Below are 22,838 nucleotides of genomic sequence, written 5' to 3'. Positions count from 1 at the left end.
GATTATTAAATTTTGGGGAGAGATGTATGTTTCCATTTTTATTCCAGAGTATATCTTCACACTTATTTCTCTATGGTTTATTCATTCAATGATCATAAAGCTTGTTCATATGAAATTGATATATGATATAGTTAACTTACCAGTCTTAAAAATATTTAAATAAGCCATAACTCTTTGGTAATTTACCTCTTCAACATTTTAGTTAGGTATCTAGATGAAATTGCATTTTATCACTAGATAGTATTTAGTCTCATTTCTTCCAGTTTGTAGATGTTATATTGATTGGCCCAGAGACAATCATTATTTTTGTTTGAATTATTTTTTTCTAGGCTTGCAGATCAGATGAGAATGTTGAATTTTCCCCAGTGGTTTGATCTGCTCAAGGATATTTTCTCTAAGTTTACAATTTTCCTACAGAGAGTGAAGGTAAGCTTATAAATTAGTTTGTCTAGAATATCCCTAAAATTAAGTCAGCTTTCTAGATACATAATATGTAAATAAAGACTCAAACTAGAATAAAACACAGTTTCTTTGTTTTTGTAATTTTTCTAAAGAGGCTTGTTTTTAAATAAAAATTTAGGTACCTCAGAGTTTGACAGTTTTAAGAATTTAATAAGTTATAATTTTATAACTTAAAAAGAAATATGCTCTTACTTTACATTAAATATTATACAGTAATATTTCCTCTCGTGATTTTTTGTTCTCCTAGGTTATCTAGAGGTACAATATTGTTAAACACCCCAAAATCACCCCAAACTATCAATTTTTCTATAAAGTCAATGTTGATATAATGGTGTTTTAAAATATATTGTTTATATTCAAATTACCTTGCTAATTTACTTTTTTTTTTTTTTTTTTTGAGGTGGAGTCTTGCTGTTACCCAGGCTGGAGTGCAGTGGCGCAATCTTGGCTCACCGCAACTTCTCCCTCCCGGGTTCAAGTGATTCTTCTACCTCAGCCTCCCGAGTAGCTAGGATTATAGGCGTGTGCCACCACGCCTGGCTAATTTTTGCATGTTTAGTAGAGATGGGGTTTCACCATGTTGGCCAGGCTGGTCTCGAACTCCTGACCTCAAGTGATCTGCCCGCCTCTGCCTCCCAAAGTGCTGAGATATAGGTGTGAGCCACTGTGCCTGGCTGCTAATATTCTTTATTTACATTTTTATTCACTTTTTGGGCACGAATCCAATCAAGCATCATGTGTTACATTTAATTATTTTGTCTCTTTAGTCAAGCCACTTAATTTTAAACCACTTAGTATAACAAAAAGAACAGGTCACGTATCATTTTACAGAAGATGTCAGACTCTAATACATACTGGTTTGAATCACCAACATGTCATAACTTTGGTTTAAGAAGAATACAGGCTGGGCACGGTGGATTACACCTGTAATCCTATCACTTTGGGAGGCCAAGGCAAGAGGATCACTTGAGCTCAGGAGTTTGAGACCAGCTTGGGCAACATAATGAGACCTCATCTCTACAAAATAAATTTTTAAATTAGCCAAGCATAGTGATGCACACCTGTAGTCCCAGCTACTTGGGTGGCTGAGGTGGGATGATCACCTAACCCCAGCAGGTCAAGGCTGCAGTGAGGCATGATTGTGCCACTGTACTCCAGCCTGGCCAACAGAGCAAGACTCCATCTCAAAAAATGAAAAAATAAAAATAAAAAAAGAATACAATCATTAGGAATTACCATGTGTAACAGTTAAAAGGGACCATTTGTGAAATTAGATATTTTTTGAGTTATCAAGTGTTAACATTGTGTTTTATGTACTAGTTAACATCCCCAGCATCTCCTGAGTACCATGTTAAATAGTGCAGGGGACTTTGGTACTTGTGTATGACATTAATTTTCCTTTATTCACATTGAAGCAATGCTAAGTCACATGTGTAAGCTCTCCAATCAGGTTCACAAAAGTTTTATAGAGTGGGATTCACTGTGCTTAATTTAGACTGCTTCTAAAATGTTGATCCTACCTATAGATAGTGACAGACACAAACTTGTATCTATAGGTGTTCAATAACAAAACCATGTTTTCACTTCTTATATTCTGACCATGACCTCATCATCACACACTTCAATTATTGCATGTCTAGTTATATAGAACTCTTACATTGCATAGTGTAGAATTGGCCAACTTTTTGCCAGAAATTTTTTGAAGTACAGTAAGTCTTCAATGTTATGGATAGGTCTTGGAAACTGTGACTTTAAGTGAAACAACTTATACCAAAGCTATTTTTTTCACTCATCATTATAGTGAAACATTTCCTTCAATGTTTTTTTCAATAACACTGAAGGAAACAGTGTTATTCAAAAACCTGCTGTACGTGGTTTCACTTAAAGTTATAGTCTCCCAGAATCTATCATTCAGATTAAGTGAGGATTTACTGTAGTTATTCCACTATGTGGAATGGCTCTATGTCAGTTAAACTAAGTAGAGTTATTATTTTATGTATGTGCTATATGAAAACTGATTGATTATAGTTGTAATTTCTCATTTTCACATTTGGACCACTTAAACTAGTACTTATGTACAACATCTTTACAGATGACATGAAATATGGTACTTTTTTCTGTGAAAAAAGTTTGTGATTCTGTCAAGTATTACTTCACTGAAAAATAATGTTAATTACAAGCTGTTCATTTTTATTGAAGAATTTAAAAATAACTAAAAATTGGAAAGAACCCAGATGTCTAACAATAGAGAAATGGTAAAATAAATTATGCTTGACACATTCTTTACCATGGAATATTATATACAGCCAAGGATTTTTAATGGTAGGAGAAAATACATACATTATGATATTCAGTTAAAAATGCAAGATACAGGGCCAGGCACCATGGCTCACACCTGTAATTCCAGCACTTTGGGAGGCCGAGGCAGGCAGATCACAAGGTCAAGAGATCGAGACCATCCTGGCCAATATGGTGAAACCCTGTCTCTACTAAAAATACAAAAATTAGCTGGGCGTGTTGGTGCATGTTTGTCCCAGCTACTTGGGAGGCTGAGGCAGGAGAATCACTTGAACCCGGGAGGTGGAGGTTGCAGTGAGCCAAGATGGTGCTACTGTACTCCAGCCTGGTGACGGAGCAAGACTCCGTCTTAAAAAAAAAAAAGGCAAGATGTAGATGTACTTATATAGTGTGATCTCAGCTATGTCAAAAAGAATTTTTTTTAACCCTTTTATCTTCCTAGAACAAGGAGAAACTTTGGGGTTTTTTGGTGGTTTTCTTTAGCTGGTCAGATTAGATGTCATTTAGATTTTTTATTCTTTTCTATTTTCCCTGAATTTTCTACAAAGAGAAGTATTACTTTTATAATCAGAAAAAGTTGTTTTGTTTTTTAATAGAATTTACCACATTACAGGAATAGACTATTTGAATTTCTTGTTTGATTTACCAGGGTTAATAATTTACTCTCCTACATTGTTGCATTTATTTCTCAAAGACAAAGGATATCCAATTCTATATGTCACTTTAGTATTACGCTTTTTTTGTTTTTTTGTTTTTTTTTGAGGTAGAGTTTCACTCTGTCGCCAGGCTGGAGTGCAGTGGCACAATCTCAGCTCACTTCAATCTCTGCCTCCCAGGATCAAGTGATTATCTTGCCTCAGCCACCTGAGTAGCTGGGATTATAGGCGCACGCCACCATGTCTAGCTAATTTTTGTGTTTTTAGTACAGATGGGGTTTCACCATGTTGGCCAGGATGATCTCAATCTCCTGACCTTGTGATCCACCCACCTTGGCCTCCAAAAGTGCAGGGATTTAGTATTATACTTTTTAAAAGAAATTAAAGGGTACATTTTCAGCCAGAATATTTCAATAGTATTTTTATTTTGAATGGATAAATAATAAGCTATTGGGATTTATAAATTTCATATTTGAGTAATTGTTAACAACTTGAGGATCTGTTGCTGTTATTTGTATTTTTTTAGTGTGTATTTTTTCTTCCTTTTTGGTCATGGTAAAAATAAACATAAAACTTAACTGATTTTAAGTGCACAATTCAGTGGCATTAAGTTCATTTGCACTATTGTGCTACTGTTAACAAACATCCATCCACAGAACTCTTTTTATCTTGCAAAGCTGAAACTCTGTACCTATTACATAATAACTCTGGGCCTGGCGTGGTGGCTCACGCCTGTAATCCCAGCACTTTGGGAGGCTGAGGTGGGTGGATCACCTGAGGTCAGGAATTTGAGACCAGCCGGGCCAACATGGTGAAACCCCATCTCTACTAATAATACAAAAATCAGCTGGGCATGGTGTCTCATGCCTGTAATCCCAGCTATTCCGGAGGCTGAGGCAGGAGAATCGCTTGAACCCAGGAGGTGGAGGTTGCAGTGAGCCAAGATTGTGCCACTGCACTCCAGCTTGGGTGACAAGAGCGAAAGTTTGTCTCAAAATAATAATAATAACTCTGGCCAAGGTGGGGCTGAAAGTCCCAGTCCTCTAATCCTGCCTTAGTCTTTCAGGTGACCAGCCTTCATCCTGTGGCTATGTAGGGGCCCTCGGCTATTTGTCATCTCTTTAGCATATGAAGACATTTTTACCACTCTGGAGATTCCAAGAGTTTAGGGAGCTGCATGCCAGGGAATGGGGACAAAGACCAAATATAGGCCTGACATAGTAGCTCATGCCTATAATCCCAACACCTTGAGAGACTGAGGCAGGAGAATCGCTTGAGACCAGAGTTTGAGACCAGTCTGGGCAACCTAGGAAGATCCTGTCTGCACACACACACAGCCACGCACACATGCACACAAGTCCTGGGCAAACCTAGCAAGATCCTGTCTAGACACACACACACACACACACACACACCACACACACCACACACACACACGTTTCCACTTTCCCCAATCCCCTGGCAACCACCATTCTACTTTCTGTCTCTATGAGTTTGACTCATAGAGCACTCATGCTGTGCACCGATTATTAGGTATTTCATATAAGTGGAATCATACAATATTTATCCTTTTGTGACTGGCTTATTTAATGTAGCTTAATGTCCTCAAGGTGCCATCTGTGTTGTAGCATGTTAGAATTTCCTTCCTTTTTAAGGCTGAGTAATATGAATAATATTCCATTATATGTGTATCTACTACATTTTGCTTATCCATTCATCAATGGACATTTGTGTTGCCTTCAACTTTTGGCTGTTGAGAATAATAATAATGCCATGAACATGCATATGCAAATATCTCTCTGAGGCCCCCTTTTAGTTCTTATTTTTGTCAACCCCAGAATTGGAATTTCTGGATCATACGGTCATCCTATTTGTAATTTTCTGAGGAACCTTCACACTGTTCTCCATAGCAGCTGTACCATTTTACATTTCCACCAATAGTGCAGGGTTTCAGTTTTTCTGCATCCTTGCCAAAACTTGTTATTTTCTGGATTTTGTGAGACTAGCCATCCTAATGGGTATGAGGTGGTATTTCCCTGTAGGTTTAATTTACATTTTTCTAATGATGAGTGATGTTGAGCATCTTTTTTATGTGCTTATTGGGCATTTTTATGTCTTTTTTGGAAAAATATTTTATTTGCCTATTATTTAATGGGGTGGTTTGGTTTTTTTGTTGTTGAGTTGTAGAAGTTCTTTACATATTCTGGATATTAACCTTTTATCATATACGTGATTTACAAATATTTTCTCCCATTCCGCAGGTTGCCTTTTTACTCTGTTAATGGTGTCTTTTGATGCATAGAAGTTTTTCTATTTTGATGTAGTCCAATTTGTCTATTTTTTTGTTGTCACCTATGTTTTTCATTTCATATCCAAGAAATCAATGCCAAATCCAGTGTCCTGAAGCTTTTTCCCTGTATTTTCTTGTAAGAATTTTATATTTTTAGAGCTTATATTTAGGCCTTTAATTGACTTTAGTTTGTTTTTATAGGTGGTATAAGACAGCGGTCTACTTTCATTCTTTAGCATGTGGATATTCAGTTTTCCGAGTATCATTTGTTGAAAAGACTGACCTTTCTGCATTGAATGGTCTTGCCACCCTTGTCAAAAAACATTTTACTGTATATGTGAGAGTTCATTTGTGGGCTCTCTCTATTCTATATGTCACTCTTTATGCCAATACCACACTGTTATGATTACCATAGTCTTGTAAGTTTTGAAATCAGGATTATAAGACTTCCATACTTCATTCTTTACGATTGTATTTTGACTTTTTATTAAATTCTTGTTTATTGTTAGCACCCTATAGATTAGGCTAATTTTTATAGGTAAGAAAGATAACAGCCTTTAAATGCAGCTTACCTTCTTTTCAAGGAATTCTTAGCTTTTAAATTTCATTTTGTTGTATGGATAAATAATCCTAGTCTGTCATTTCAGAATGACAATATCAGTTGTCATTATGGTTATCAATATGGCTACCAGATATTTCATTAACTCCATTCTCAAGATTGGAAAATTATATTTGGCTTAGCTGTCCTGGTGTTTTTGAAACATGAACTTGTCTATAGACTGTGTAATAGTTCAGAAAGTAAACCATGTATCTACTGTTGAAAGTATTATGTATTTTAAAATCTTATTTTTTGGATACCAGTCTTCTGGCATTCTTAAGAATGGCTTTGGATTTGGAAAAAATAATCAGCAAATCTTTAAAAGTGTAGATACGGTGAAAACAGCAAAGAAGAATCCCTAGAATACCTGATATACTTTATGTGGAAAATTTTAATAACTGTATAAGCGAAGATGTTATTAAAAGGAATGAAGTATTCAAATCAAACTGGTTTAAACAGTACAAGGAATGTATTGGCTCTGGGAATTAAAGAAAAGTCCAAGACTAGGAAGGGCTTCATGCATGGTTTTGTCTTGGTTCTCCAGCTTAGTTTCTCTGTTTCCAATTCAGCTTTGCCTTTCTCTTTCCTCTTGGCTTCATCAGTTCTAGGTCTGCCACATTTGCCACAATTCTATACCACCTAGAAGTTTTCTATTTTTTACTTAGAGTTTTCCTTCCTCAGTCACCAAATGAAATTCCTTTATCGATTAAGCCAAATTTAGAATTTTTCACCTGGAGTTTTTCTTCTTCAGTCATCAAATGAAAGTCCTTGGCTTTAATTGATTGAACCAGTTTAGGTCACATGTCCAGTCACTGTGATCAGGAAAATGCTGTGCACTGATTATTAGTTTAAATCTGGATTTTCTTCTCATCTCTAAGCTAAACATTAGGCAAGGAGGTTGGGAGTACACTGAGTGGGCTATTTAGAACTGATACTTGAAGCTGGAAAGTGGGCTTATTTCTACCCAAATTATATGGCTGTTGTACCATGGGAAAAGTGATGTAGAATAGATGTTGGATAGGTCTGTCATGTCTTTTTATTTTAAAAAGTTAAGAAAGAAAATTAGCAAGACAGAAGAGATAAGGAAAAAGACGCAAAACAAGATGGGGGAACTAAGTATATCCAAGATTGGACAGCAGTGAGGATTAAAGCAGCAGTAGTGGAGCAGCAAATTTGTGACAATACAGAAGAAGCTAGTGAGCAATGAAGAAAGAAAAAAAATGCAGTATCCATAGTAGACACTTTGGTCCTAAAGCTCTTGAAGGCTCTATCTTCGGTATACTGTATGGGCTATTGACTCATTTAAAATGCTTTCAGTTCCAAATAACAGGAAACACAACTCAGAGGGTCTCAAACAGTTAAGAGGATTTATTAGCTCATACAACTAAAAAAATACACAGAGGTAGGTCAGCCTTAAGGTCTTTCATAAAGAGGTTGTTGGTGTCATCAAGCTTTGGCTTTATTTCTTTGCAATTCTCTCTTCTATGTACCTTACTAATAATTAAGCTCAGATTGTGGTGGTTCCATGTACTAATTGGACTAGCTTAGATCCTTTTGTTGATTTTGGAGACCCGAAGTTAGAGTCTGCTTCCCTAGAACCATGTAGATTCCAAAAAAACTAACCAAGCGTTTTGAGAAAGGGAGAAACAGTTGTAAGACTGCAACTGTGAATGTTAAAATAGGCAAGCAGTCCTTTATTTCTTAATTGTCCATAAAGACATTAGTTTACATAAATTTACTCTTCATTTGCCTAGCTTTCAATATTTACTGAGCACCTCCTATTTGCCAGGCACTATTCTAGGCATTAGGATTACAGTGTCATGGAATGGAGCTGACATTCTAATAGAAGGAGACCTAGAATAAACAAAGATAATTGTACATAATGATAAATGGGTTTTTTTGTTTTTTGTTTTTATTTTTTTACAAAAACTGGATAATGGGATAGAGTTGCTGGGTGGAGATTCAGGGAAGGCCTCTGAGGAAGTGACCACTGGAGCCAGAACCTCAGTGATGAGAAGGAAATATGTGCAAAGATCAAGGTGAAAAGCATTCCGGATAGAGGAAACAGCAGAGGCACTGAGGTGGGAACAATCCTGGAATGAGGGAAGAGTAGAAAGAGAACTAGAATGTCTGGAGAGTAGTGAATAAGTGAGAGAAGATACGAGAAAAGGAGAAAGAGAGGTAGGGGCTAGGCATGGTAAGTAACACAGATTCCTTTTCTTTTAGACAGGCATATCAATGTATATGATTCTCTGATGGGCAAGTTATGTTTAGTGTAACCTTTTTAAGAGGTCAGAGAAATATGCAACATATTTTAGGGAGATTTCCATTTTAAAAATTAGTTAAAATATAGGAAGTTTATTTCTAAGCTTTAGTGAACCCATTTCTCCTGGCCAGTTCTTTTTCACATCACTTTTCCTATGTAATAAAAGATCGGTAGAAATTCTGATATACATGACTTTGACTCATTTATGATTATAGATGTCCAAAATTACATGCACAGAATTCTCTTTTGGGAACTTCAGGTAAGAGACATTTTACGTCCCTTAAAAGTGTGTCCTATTTTCTTGTAGGCAACATTAAATATCATTCACAGTGTTGTTCTCTCAGTTCTTGACAAAAACCAAAGGACTAGAGAATTGGAAGAGATTTCACAACAGAAGAATGCTGCAAAAGATAATTCACTGGACACAGAGGTGGCTTATTTAATCCATGAAGGCATGTTTATAAGTGATGCATTCGGTGAGGGTGAGCTAACACCTATAGCAGTTGACACTACCTCTCAAAGAAATGCATCTCCAAATAGTGAGCCCTGCAGCAGTGATTCTGTATCCGAGCCAGAATGTACTACTGATTCTTCATCCAGCAAAGAGCACACATCATCATCTGCTATTCCAGGAGGTGTGGATATTATGTGAGTATAGTGGCTACTGCCAAATTGACAAGATTTTGAGTCATCTTATTAATGGATTCAGTAAGATTGATTATTCAGTTTATTGAAAAACCATGTAAATTTTAGAATTTAACAAAAATATATTAATTTTATGAAACGTATCTCTATAAAAATGTATGAGAAGTAAGGAGGTGAGCATTGGAAGTAATTGAAAATTATAGAGTTTTAAGATTGCAAAAGAACTTTAAAGACCATTTTATTAAATGCCCTCATTTCAGTGATAAGGTAATTGATGCCCAGAGAGCTTAGATGACTTGCTTACAGTGACTAGTGGCAGAACATATACTGGAACCCAGGTCAGTTTTTGCTTTGGTCATTTTTCTTTCTTCTGTGTCACCTTTGTGATTTATATGTTGTGAAGATCTGTTTGATTTATAACTTTTGGTTTTTCAAAGACATGAATTTCCAAATGGATCACATCTTCTCTTAAACCTTATTTTAAAAACTTCTTATTTTGAAATAATTTCAAATTTACAGAAAAGTTACCAGAATAGAACAAAAAACTCTCATATAACCTTCATCCAGATTCCCCAGGTGTTAATACTTTACCACATTGCACTCTGCCTCCCTCCCTCTCTTTTTCTCTTTCTGTCTCCTTTTGTCTTTATCTCTTATGTTAATATTTTTTCTGAATCCTTTGACAGTAGGTTACAGACATGATGCACTATTATCCCTGGATACCTGGTGTATATTTCCTAAACACAAGAACACTCCTATATAACCTTAGTATACTGATTAAATACAAGGAAACATTGATACAATAAATTATTAATATTACTGTCTGATCCACAGATCCCATTTAAACAAAGTTTACCAATTGACCCAGTAATCTCCGTTATCAAAAAAATAGAACCAATAAAATATTTCTGGTCCAAGAATAGTTTGGATTTAGTTATTGTTAAGAATAACAATATTTTTATTATCTTTATATAAATCAACTCAGTACTTTATTATTACTTCTTTTTCTGTTTTTTTTTTTTTATACTTTAAGTTCTGGGTTACATGTGCAGAAAGTGCAGTTTTGTTACATAGGTATACATGTGCCATGGTGGTTTGCTGCACCCATCAGCCCATCACCTACATTAGGTATTTCTCCTAATGTTATCCCTCCCCTAGCCCTCCACCCTTCACAGGCCCTGGTGTGTGATGTTCCCCTCCCTGTGTCCACGTGTTCTCATTGTTCAGCTCCCACTTATGAGTGAGAACATGCAGTGTTTGGTTTTCTGATCTTGTGATAGTTTGCTGAGAATGATGGTTTCCAGCTTCATCCATGTCCCTGCAAAGGACATGAACTCATCCTTTTTTATGGCTGCATAGTATTCCACGGTGTATATGTGCCACATTATCTTAATCCAGTCTATCATTGATGAACCTTTGGGTTGGTTCCAAGTCTTTGCTATTGTGAATAGTCCCCACAGTAAACATACGTGTGCATGTGTCTTCATCGTAGAATCATTTATAATCCTTTGGGTATATGCCCAGTAATGGGATGTCTGGGTCAAATGGTATTTCTAGTTCTAGATCCTTGAAGAATCGCCACACTGTCTTCCACAATGGTTGAACTAATTAACACTCCCACCAACAGTGTAAATGCATTTCTATTTCTCCACATCCTCTCCAGCATCTGTTGTTTCCTGATTTTGTAGTGATCGCCATTCTAACTGGAGTGAGATGGTATCTCACTGTGGTTTTGATTTGCATTTCTCTAATGACCAGTGATGATGAGCATTTTTTCATATGTCTTTTGGCCACATAAATGTCCTCTTTTGAGAAGTGTCTGTTCATATCCTTTGCCCACTTTTTGATGGGGTTGTTTGCTTTTTTCTTGTAAATTTGTTTAAGTTCTTTGTAGATTCTGGATATTAGCCCTTTGTCAGATGAGTAGATTGCAAAAATTTTCTCCCATTCTGTAGGTTGCCTGTTCACTCTGATGATAGTTTCTTTTGCTGTGCAGAAGCTCTTCCGTTTAATTAGATCCCATTTGTCAATTTTGCCTTTTGTTGCCATTGCTTTTGGTGTTTTAGACATGAAGTCTTTGCCCATGCCTATGTCCTGAATGGTATTGCCCAGGTTTTCTTCTAGGAGTTTTATGGTCCTAGGTCTTACGTTTAAGTCTTTGATCCATCTTGAGTTGATTTTTGTATATGGTGTAAGGAAGGGGTCCAGTTTCAGTTTTCTGCATATGGCTAGCCAGTTTTCCCAACACCATTTATCAAATAGGGAATCTTTTCCCCATTGCTTGTATGTGTCAGGTTTGTCAAAGATCAGATGGTTGTAGATGTGTGGTATTATTTCTGAGGCCTCTGTTCTGTTCCATTGGTCTATATATCTGTTTTGGTACCGGTATCATGTTGTTTTGATTATTGTAGCCTTGTAGTATAGTTTGACGTCAGGTAGCATGATGCCTCCAGCTTTGTTCTTCTTGCCCAGGATTGTCTTGGCTATGCGGGCTCTTTTTTGGTTCCATTAGTAGTTTTTTTCATTTCTGTGAAGAAAGTCAGTGGTAGCTTGATGGGGATGGCATTGAATCTATAAATTACTTTTGGCAGTAAGGCCATTTTCACAATATTGATTCTTCTTATCCATGAGCATGGAATGTTTTTCCATTTGTTTGTGTCCTCTCTTATTTCCTTGAGCAGTGGTTTGTAGTTCTCCTTGAAGAGGTCCTTCACATCCCTTGTAAGTTGGATTCCTAGGTATTTTATTCTCTTTGTAGCAATTGTGAATGGGAGTTCGCTCATGATTTGGCTCTCTGTTTGTCTGTTATTGGTGTATAGAAATGCTTGTGATTTTTGCACATTGATTTTGTATCCTGAGACTTTGCTGAAGTTGCTTATCAGCTTAAGGAGATTTTGGGCTGAGATGATGGGGTTTTCTAAATATACAATCATGTCATCTACAAACAGAGACAATTTGACTTCCTCTTTTCCACATTGAATACCCTTTATTTTTTTCTCTTGCCTGATTGCCCTGGCCAGAACTTCCAATACTATATTGAATAGGAGTGGTGAGAAAGGGCATCTGTGTCTTGTGCCGGTTTTCAAAGTGAATGCTTCCAGTTTTTGCCCAGTCAGTATTATATTGGCTGTGGGTTTGTCATAAATAGCTCTTACTATTTTGAGATATGTTCCATCAATACCTAGTTTATTGAGAGTTTTTAGCATGAAAGGCTGTTGAATTTTTTCAAAGGCCTTTTCTGCATCTATTGAGATAATCATGTGGTTTTTGTCATTGGTTCTGCTTATGTGATGGATTACATTTATTGATTTATGAATGTCAAACCAGCCTTGCATCCCAGGGATGAAGCTGACTTGATCTTGGTGGATAAGCTTTTCGATGTGCTGCTGGATTCGGTTTGCCGGTATTTTGTTGAGGATTTTCTCATCGATGTTCATCAGGGATATTGGCCTAAAATTCTCTTTTTTTGTTGTGTCTCTTCCAGGCTTTGGTATCAGGATAATGCTGGCCTCATAAAATGAGTTAGGGTGGATTCCCTCTTTTTCTATTGATTGGAATAGTTTCAGAAGGAATGGTACTAGCTCTTCCTCGTACCTCTGGTAGAATTCAGCTGTGAATCTGTCTGGTCCTGAACTTTTTTTGGTTGGTAGGCTATTAATTATTGCCTCAATTTCAGAACCTGTTACTGGTCTATTCAGAGATTCAACTTCTTCCTGGTTTAGTCTTGGGAGGGTGCATATGTCGAGGAATTTATCCATTTCTTCTAGATTTTCTAGTTTATTTGTGTAGAGGTGTTTGTAGTATTCTCTGATGGTAGTTTGTATTTCTGTGGGGTTGGTGGTGATATCCCCTTTATCATTTTTTATTGTGTCTATTTGATTTTTCTTTCTCTTCTTATTAGTCTTGCTAGATCAATTTTGTTGATCTTTTCAAAAAACCAGCTCCTGGATTCATTGATTTTTTTTTTTTTGAAGGGTTTTTTATGTCTCTGTGTCCTTCAGTTCTGCTCTGATCTTAGTTATTTCTTGCCTTCTGCTAGCTTTTGAATGTGTTTGCTCTTGCTTCTCTAGTTCTTTTAATTGTGATGTTAGGGTGTTGATTTTAGATCTCTCCTGCTTTCTCTTGTGGGCATTTACTGCTATAAATTTCCCTCTACACACTGCTTTAAATGTGTCCCAGAGATTCTGGTACGTTGTGTCTTTGTTCTCATTGGTTTCAAAGAACATCTTTGTTTCTGCCTTCATTTTGTTATTTACCCAGTAGTCATTCAGGAGCAGGTTGTTCAGTTTCCATGTAGTTGAGTGGTTTTGATTGAGATTCTTAATCCTGAGTTCTAATTTGATTGCAGTGTGGTCTGAGAGACAGTTTGTTGTGATTTCTGTTCTTTTACATTTGCTGAGGAGTGCTTTAGTTCGAGTTATGTGGTCAATTTTAGAATAAGTGTGATGTGGTGCTGAGAAGAATGTATATTCTGTTGATTTGGGGTGGAGAGTTCTGCAGATGTCTATTAGGTCCGTTTGGTCCAGAGCTGAGTTCAAGTCCTGGATATCCTTGTTAATTTTCTGTCGTGTTGATCTAATATTGACAGTGGGGTATTAACGTCTCCCATTATTATTGTGTGGGAGTGTAAGTCTCTTTGTAGGTCTCTAAGGACTTGCTTTATGAATCTGGGTGCTCCTGTATTGGTTGTATATATATTTAGGATAGTTAGTTCTTCTTGTTGAATTGATCCCTTTACCATTATATAATGGTCTTCTTTGTGTCTTTTGATTTTTGTTGGTTTAAAGTCTGTTTCGTCAGAGACCAAGATTGCAACCCCTGCTTTTTTTTTTTTTTTTTGCTTTCCATTTGCTTGGTAGATCTTCCTCCATCCCTTTATTTTGAGCCTATGTGTGTCTTTGCATGTGAGATGGGTCTCCTGAATGTAGCACACCGATGGGTCTTGACTCTTTATCCAGTTTGCCAGTCTGTGTCTTTTAATTGGGGCATTTAGCCCATTTACATTTAAGGTTAATATTGTTATGTGTGAATTTGATCCTGTCATTATGATGCTAGCTGGTTATTTCGCCCACTAATTGATGCAGTTTCTTCCTAGCATTGATGGTCTTTACAATTTGGCCTGTTTTTGCAGTGTCTGGTACCAGTTGTTCCTTTCCATGTTTAGTGCTTCCTTCAGGAGCTCTTGTAAGGCAGGCCTGGTGGTGACAAAAATCTCTCAGCATTTGCTTGTCTGTAAAGGCTTTTATTTCTCCTTCACTTATGAAGCTTAGTTTGGCTGGATATGAAATTCTGGGTTGAAAATTCTTTAAGAATGTTGAATCTTGGCCCCCACTCTCTTCTGGCTTCTAGGATTTCTGCAGAGACATCCGCTGTTAGTCTGATGGGCTTCCCTTTGTGGGTAACCTGACCTTTCTCTCTGGCTGCCCTTAACATTTTTTCCTTCATTTCACCCTTGGTGAATCCGACAATTATGTGTCTTGGGGTTGTTCTTCTCAAGAAGTATCTTTGTGGTGTTCTCTGTATTTCCTGAATGTGAATGTTGGCCTGCCTTGCTAGGTTGGGGAAGTTCTGCTGGATAGTATCCTGAAGAGTGTTTTCTAACTTGGTTCCACTCTTCCCATCACTTTCAGGTACACCAATCAAACGTAGATTTGGTCTTTTCACATAGTCCCATATTTCTTGGAGGCTTTATTCATTTCTTTTCACTCTTTTTTCTCTAATCTTGTCTTCTCGCTTTATTTCACTAATTTGATCTTCAGTCACTGATACCCTTTCTTCCACTTGATTGAATCGGCTATTGAAGCTTGTGTATGCTTCACAAAGTTCTTGTACTGTGGTTCTCAGCTCCATCAGGTCATTTAAGCTTTTCTCTAGACTGGTTATTCTAGTTAGCCACTCATCTAATCTTCTTTCAAGGTTTTTAGCTCCCTTGCAATGGGCTAGAACATGCTCCTTTAGCTCAGAGAAGTTTGTTATTACCGACCTTCTGAAGCCTACTTCCGTCAGCTCGTCTAACTCATTCTCCGTCCAGTTTTGTTCCCTTGCTGGTGAGGATTTGTGTTCCTTTGGAGGAGAAGAGGTATTCTGGCTTTTGGAGTCTTCAGCATTTCTACTCTGGTTTCTCCCCATCTTTTTGGTTTTACCTACCTTTGGTCTTTGATGTTGGTGACCTGTCGATGGGATTTTGGTGTGGATGTTCTTTTTGTTGATGTTGATGCTATTCCTTTGTTTGTTAATTTTCCTTCCAACAGTCACATCCCTCAACTGCAGGTGTGTTGGAGTTTGCTGGAGGTCCACTCCAGACCCTGTTTGTCTGGGTATCACCAGCAGAGGCTGCAGAACAGCAAATATTGCTGCCTGATCCTTCCCTTGCAAGCTTCACAGAGGGGCACCCACCTGTATGAGGTGTCTGTCGGCCCCCTACTGGGAGGTGTCTCCCAGTCAGGCTGCACGGGGGTCAGGGATCCACTTGAGGAGGCAGTCTGTCCGTTATCAGAGCTCGAACACTGTGCTGGGAGAACCACAGCTCTCTTCAGAGCTCTCAGGCAGGGATGTTTAAGTCTGGAGAAGCTGTCTGCTGCCTTTTGTTCAGCTGTGCCCTCCCCAGGGAGGTGGAATCCAGAGAGGCAGTAGGCATTGCTGAGCTGCGGTGTGCTCTGCCCAGTTTGAGCTTCCCTGCTGCTTTGTTTACACTCTGAGCATAGAACTGCCTACTCAAGCCTCAGCAATGGCAGACGCCTCTCCCCCCACCAAGCTCTCACATCCCAGGTGGATCTCAGACTCCTGTGCTACCAGTGAGCAAGGCTCCGTGGGTGTGGGACCCACCGAGCCAGGCACGGGAGGGGATCTCCTGGTCTGCCTGTTGCAAAGACCATAGGAAAAGCACAGTATTTGGGCAGGAGTGTACCACTTCTCCAGGTGCAGTTACTCACAGCTTCCCTTGGCTAGGAAAGGGAAATCCCCCGACCCCTTGTGCTTCCCAGGTGAGGCGATGCCCCGCCCTGCTTCAGCGCACCCTCCATGGGCTGCACCCACTGTCCATCCAGTCCCAATGAGATGAACCAGGTACCTCAGTTGGAAATGCAGAGATCACCCGTCTTCTGCGTCGATCTCGCTGGGAGCTGTAGACAAGAGCTGTTCCTATTCAGCCATCTTGGGAGCGACCGGTCAGCTCAGTACTTTATGTAAATCAACTTATGGTCCTGGAGCTTATAAAGGTCACAGTTACAGCATAAAGTCAGCTATAACACTGCTCTTCAGTACAAACAAACCAAACCCTGAGCTATATATTAATAAAGTTTCTTCTGTGTTCAGGCTGATATTTTCACATTTACTAGTTAGGGTGCAGTCTAAAACTGCTATAAAAAGAGATGTAAAAACTCTGTAGCTTAAACAATGTAAAATTTTATTTCTCTCATGTAACATTTCAGAGGTAGGAGATGGTCAGCTGAGAAGACAGTTCTACCATTCTCATGTGTAGTTTTCATCTGTGTCTAAGGTGGCTGTTCTGGCTTTTAGCATTTCATTTTCATCCGTAGCAGCAGGAAGGAGAGGACAAAGGGCTGATACCTTGCTTACTTTGTTTTGCTTGTTAAACATTTTAACAACAGCCATGTAATTTGGGTAGAACTAAGCCCACCTTCCATCTTCAAGTATCATTTGTATTCATCTTCCTCTCAGCCCTTTTATGATCCATTTGGAACATAAGGCACATATGGGAAAATGTAGCAATTATAAAGTGCTCAGCTCAATTAACTAGCACAAAGTGAATGTGTTGGTGTAATTGTCACCCCCCTCAAGAACTATAACTTTACCAGCTCTTCAGAAGCCCCTCTTGCTGCTGTAATACTACACTACTCCTTCCCATAGGAAACCATTAAAACAATTGGTTTTTCCAGTTTTTAAACTTTATGTTAATGGAATAATATATTTGCTCTTTTGTCTCTGATTTCTTTCGTTCAGCATTACAGTTGTGATATCTATCCAGGTTGTTACATGTAGCAGTGATTTTATTTTTTGTGTACAAATAATCCATTTTATGATACACCACAATGTATGTATGTATTTTACTTTTGATAAGATTTGGGTTATTTTCATTTTGGATTGTCACGAACATTCTTCTAGATACCTTTGTTGCACATGTTACAAGCATTGCTGTTGAATATATACCTGGAAACAAAGTATGTGAATGGTCAATTTAGCTAATGCCTAACAATTTCTCAAAGTGGTTGTACTCATTTATGCTCCCCTCAGAAGTGTGGAGCAGTTTGTGTCACTCCACATCTTCCTTCACTCTTAATATTGCCAGTCTTTTACATGTTAGCCATTCTGTTGGGTATGTTGCAAGTGTAGTAATTTTATTTCCCTGATGATTGTTAGGAGAGCACCTTTTCATACATTCATTGGCTTCTGGGATGTCCTTTTCTATGAAGTGCCTATTCAAGGCCTTTACCCATTTTTCTGTTGGTTTGTCTTGATCTGTGAAGGTTGTTTATATTATGTCAGCACAAACCTTTTGCCAGTTGTCCATATTGCAGATATCTTCTCCCACTTTCTGTATTGACTTTTCACTCTTATTGGGTTTTTTGGTGAACAAAAGTTCTTAATATAATTCTATGATTCATTACTTTCCTTTATGATTTATGCTTCTTTGTGTCCTGTTTAAGAAATCTTTCTCTACCTTAAAGACTTGAAGATGTTTTCTGGTTACTGTCTAGAAACTTTGTTACTGTCTTTTTCACATTAAGACCTACAATCCATCTAGAATTGATTTTTATGTTTAGTATGAGGGTTAAGATTTTTTTCCCATATGGATATGTTTTTGACCTTGCACCATTTATTGAAAAGGCTGTCTTTCCTACTGCTCTATAATGTCACTCTTGACATAAATCAAATATTCAGATAGGCGTATCTGTTTCTGGACTCTATTTCGTTCATTTTTCTGTCTTTACACCAGTACCATTAAGTAAAATTGTCATAGTTACTGTAGTTACGATAGCTTTTGTTTTCTTAAACAATTAGTTTGTAGAGATGGGGTCTTACTATGTTGCCCAGGCTGGTCACTCCTGGCCTCAAGTGATCCTCCTGTCTCAACCTCCCAGAGTGCTAGGCGTGAACCACCATGCCCAGCAACTGTAGCTTTTTAATCCATATTAATATCTGGGAGATTAATTTCTCCCAATTTTTCTTCTTTAGGATTGCCTCAACTCTTCTTGGTCTTTTACAAATCCATATACATTTTAGATTTCTTAGTTCTCTGTTACCTTCATGTAGATTTGTTTATATTTTATTCTTTCTTTTTAAAAACAAGCACAATCCAGAATTCACACTTATTACTTCCACTCACATCCTAGTGGCCAGAATAATTACATGACTATGTCTAGCTATAAGGGAAGCTTGAGAAATAAGTCTTTAGCTTGTGGACTATTTGCCCAGCTAGAGCTGTCATTGTGGCAAAAGAGAGAACAGATACTGAAAGATAGTTAGCTTTCTGCCACACCATTTGAGATCCTTTTAAACTGGATGCAGTCTCACAGTTTTTATCCTTCCCCTCCTACCTCCATTGTGGCTCACTTTATACATTGAACCTTCTCTGGCTTTCCCCAATTGCATCCTCCTACAGCATGAAGCATAGGTTCTGTAGATGGTTCTTTCTATGTTCAGTAGACACATAAATGTCTGGGAACTACCCAACCCAAAGGGGCAATGAATTGAGTATACTTATATGTGTGAGTCTAACTAGTTCTTTCATACAACGGCTCTGACTATTCCTGTAGCAAGTGTTTTTGTGGTATATAATTGAATCACTGATATAGAACATGCAAAAATACGTCTGACGTTCTAACTTTGTTAGTGGTAGATTTTCCCTATTTTCTTACTTCAAAATAACCTGCAATTTTGTAAGTTTATTGCAATGCAAATAAGGCACAGAATAGGAAATACTTTTCTAGGCAGGAAATAGGAAGAGAAAAACAATGGAAAATATTAGAGTTGCAGAGCATAATGTCCTCAAGTTTCATCCATGTTGAAGCATATATCAAAATTTTCTTCCTTTTTAAGGCTGAATAATATTCCATTCACATGTATGTGATATATACATACAAGATGTATATGTATATATCACATTTTGTTTATCTGTTCATCCATTAGTGGACACTTGGGTTGCTTCCACGTCTTGGCTATTTTGAATAGTGCTGTTATGAACTTGAGTGTACATATAAATCCTAGAGATCTTACTTTGTTATTTTGGATATATACCCAGAAGTAGAATTGCTGGATTATGTTTGAATTCGTTTGTTTTTTCCCTATTGACGTGAAAGTTAGAGATCTAACTGAAGTTAAAAAATAATTTTTTTTTCTTTTTTTTTTTCCTCACTCCTTTGCCCAGGCTGGAGTGCAGTGGTGCGATCTCGGCTCACTGCAAGCTCTGCCTACCGGGTTCACACCATTCTCCTGCCTCAGCCTCCCAAGTAGCTGGGACTACAGGCGCCTGCCACCACGCCTGGCTAATTTTTTTGCGTTTTTAGTAGAGACGGGGTTTCACCATGTGTTAGCCAGGATGATCTCGGTCTCCTGACCTCATGATCTGCCCGCCTCGGCCTTCCAAAGTGCTGGGATTACAGGCGTGAGCCACCGCGCCCCAGCCCCAAAAAATCTTTTTAAGAGCAGAATTACAATGAATGAAATTATTTTAAAAAACTAACTTTGGGCTTTTTGGATTAATTCACTCTTTTTTTTTTTTTAAGGACTTGAGTTGTTTTTATTTGCTATTTTCTGTTTATATTTTTGTGAATTGGTAGGATATTGCCAAGAGTTTCAAATTCCTTAATCATTCTGTTACATGGGGGAAATTTTAAGTAATGTTTCAGGAATTAAAAATTTACTTCAGTAGTAAAGTTGACTTTGAAATTTAAGCAAGAATTTTGCAGGTATCCTGTTTTGAAATACTACTAGACTGTTTATATAGAAATGTCGGAGCAGAGGAAGCTTAATCGATTAGAAGTAGACTAAGTCTAGGTTCTAGTTCTACTCTCTTAATATTCTAACCTTGGATAGGTCACTTTAACTTTCTAAGATTCAGTGTTCTCCTCCATAGGTGGTTATTTATCTACCTACCTCAGAGTGTGAGAATGAAACGAGATAATGTTTCTGCGAGTACTTTAAGAATATTAATTCTTCTGTTATTTTGAAGCATTAGTAAACAAATTTGGTGATATTATGATTTTGAAGGATAGCAGGTAATAACCTTCTTTAATACCATAACCAATTAGAATGGTAGTTTGCCTCAAAGTAATATACACCAGAGCCTCTTTGTAGTATCTTTGAAAAGTATTTTAATTCAACTGAAAGAGAGAAAAATGAGGTTAAGGTACTTCACTTGGCTCATGGTAACACTAAACTGAACTGATGGCATGGAATCATTGGTCTTTATATATGCCCCTGGGGGAAAATGTTTAAAAATAGAAAGTTTTACATTCCCCCTCAAAATTGAAAAAAAGCACATTATGTCTTATAAATACTCCTCTTTGAGTTTAGGTTCCTTGAAAGCAGCAACCTATTATATTCCCTCTAGTGCCTAGCGCTTAAGCATGGTAAATGCTTAGTAAATATTAGTTCAGTTGAACTGAATATTTATACTCATTCATAATTATAAGTAAAAAGAGAGCCTGTTTGTCATGAAATAACATTCCTTCCCTCTTCTTGCTTCCACTGTATCATCCTAGGTGCCTATGCACAACTGTCCCCTGACATAGCTACTACCTTGTACCTAATCTAAAAATTTAATTTTGCTATAGTTTCTGCAGACTTTCCAATTGGAGTCTGAACCAAGTGTTGAAAATACTACAGTGGAGAATGAAAATTCTTATTTAAGGTTATGACAAAATACATTTGTGGATGGGCACAGTGGCTCACACTTGTAAATCCTAGCACTTTGGGAGGCTGAGGTGGGAGGATTGCTTGAGGCCAGGGATATTTGAGACCACCCTGGGCATTGTAGCAAGACTCTGTAGTCCCAGCTACTTGGGAGGCTGAGGTAGGGGGTTTGCTTGAGGCTAGGAGTTTGAGGTTTCAGTAAGCTCTGAATGTGCCACTGCACTCCAGCCTGGGTGACAGAGCAAGACCCTGTCTCAAAACAAATAATAATATAGATAATAGTTGTATTATCTGAGCATGTTTAAGTAATGTTTCACTATAAAAACTATAAGATATTTGGTACATCATAGAATTTTTCTTCAAATGTGAATTTTACAGCTTTTTCATCCTTTTTATTGATAGGTCACCTGTGGAGAATACTATGTTTACAACTTTCCCTGACTAAATCTTATTTTGTTATTTTCAGGGTCAGTGAAGATATGAAATTAACTGACTCAGAGCTAGGAAAGCTGGCAAATAATATCCAGGAATTATTATATAGTGCCTCAGATATATGCCATGATCGAGCTGTCAAATTTCTCATGTCAAGAGCAAAGGTAGCTATTTTCATAAAGCTTTATATATTTTATACGTAATAATTTTGAAGATCTGGAATTATGTCTTTGCTTCCTGTGTTCCCCATAATGCATATTATATTTTTAACATTTAATAAAGTCAGTGTTACCACTGATGTGGTCTACTAGGGAGATGTTGAGATATGAAGTAATCTAAAATAAATAGGAGTTATTAAAGCATTATTTTCAGATAAATGATTAAATGACATTTTGAAATATATGTTAATAACTAATTTGAAATTAATGTTGTTTTACATATATAGTAAGTCTATATATGTATACCTAAATATATGTAGTTAAACAAGTTTATAATAAAACTCCAACATTGTGAAAATTTTATAGTATGACCTAAATTCATTTGAACTACTATATTAGTTATAAAGGGATCAGAATCAAATTTGGACCTCTTAAGCATTTCATGCTCAATTTCTGGGTCTGAAGTATTGGGAAATATTATTAAAATAAAAAATATATAGATTATAATAATCGTTAAACTAACTTGGTTTCATAACTCAATTTGGTGTTACACTAACTCTCATGATTTTTGTATTAAAATTTAGGATGGTTTTCTTGAGAAGCTAAATTCCATGGAATTCATAACACTTTCTAGATTAATGGAAACATTCATTTTAGACACCGAACAGATCTGTGGAAGAAAAAGCACGTCATTACTTGGAGCACTTCAGAGCCAAGCTATTAAGTTTGTAAATAGGTTTCATGAAGAGAGAAAAACCAAGCTCAGGTATCATCACCATGTCCATTCTGTTGTTTGATTTTTTCATTTTTCTTTGTGAAACACAGTTATGTTTAAAAGAGGAAACCTAATTGGCCAGTGAAAATGCCTGATAAAGGTTTTTTTAATTAAAGGCAGATTGTGGAATTAAAATCACATTTCTTGGCTTTTCAAAGTGGAGTTAGAATGTTTACTTCTATTAAAGTACTTATCAGGAAGATCCTCAGTAAGTTGACTTTTGTTCCCACTCAAAGTTAAGTAAATTGTTTCATCATTCTTTTTGATTAGGCTGAGATATAAAAAGGGAACTATTTTCTAAGTATTGGTCCTGCTTATTAAAGTGTTCAGCACTTTTTAAGTCTTATGTTCTCACTCAGCTCTTCTTCCTTTTCTTTTAAACCA

General features: G+C 37.2%; 1 protein-coding gene across 10 annotated transcripts in view, besides 1 other annotated feature; it reads left to right on the top strand.

The window, feature by feature from the left end:
• The window catches only part of VPS54 (VPS54 subunit of GARP complex), a 127,279-nt gene that overhangs the window by 76,538 nt on the left and 27,903 nt on the right, over positions 1-22,838 (top strand). For 8 of the 10 annotated variants that reach the window (XR_007076389.1, XM_017004316.2, NM_001005739.2 and 5 more), the window contains 4 exons: positions 330-426; positions 8,878-9,218; positions 21,556-21,685; positions 22,264-22,445. Coding sequence is in view for 9 of the 10 variants with exons in the window: in XM_017004316.2 (XP_016859805.1) it covers positions 330-426; positions 8,878-9,218; positions 21,556-21,685; positions 22,264-22,445 (750 nt within the window). In the remaining variant the exon portion in view is untranslated. Of the gene's footprint in view, positions 1-329; positions 427-862; positions 4,000-8,877; positions 9,219-20,310; positions 20,453-21,555; positions 21,686-22,263; positions 22,446-22,838 lie in introns of those variants that run through there. The other 2 variants (XM_047444731.1, XM_047444732.1) reach the window with 2 other exon arrangements.
• Positions 15,742-16,036: a silencer, noted in NCBI's record as "tiled region #742; K562 Repressive non-DNase unmatched - State 15:Elon". NCBI's record gives its function as "represses a minimal TATA promoter and a strong SV40 promoter by Sharpr-MPRA in K562 cells {active_cell/tissue: K562}" and the evidence as "EXISTENCE:reporter gene assay evidence [ECO:0000049][PMID:27701403]".

Source organism: Homo sapiens, chromosome 2 (genome assembly GCF_000001405.40).
Source record: "Homo sapiens chromosome 2, GRCh38.p14 Primary Assembly".
Classification (NCBI taxonomy): Eukaryota; Metazoa; Chordata; class Mammalia; order Primates; family Hominidae; genus Homo; species Homo sapiens.
The sequence above is the reverse complement of the archived record's forward strand: the minus strand, read 5'-3'. Positions and strand labels throughout refer to the sequence as shown.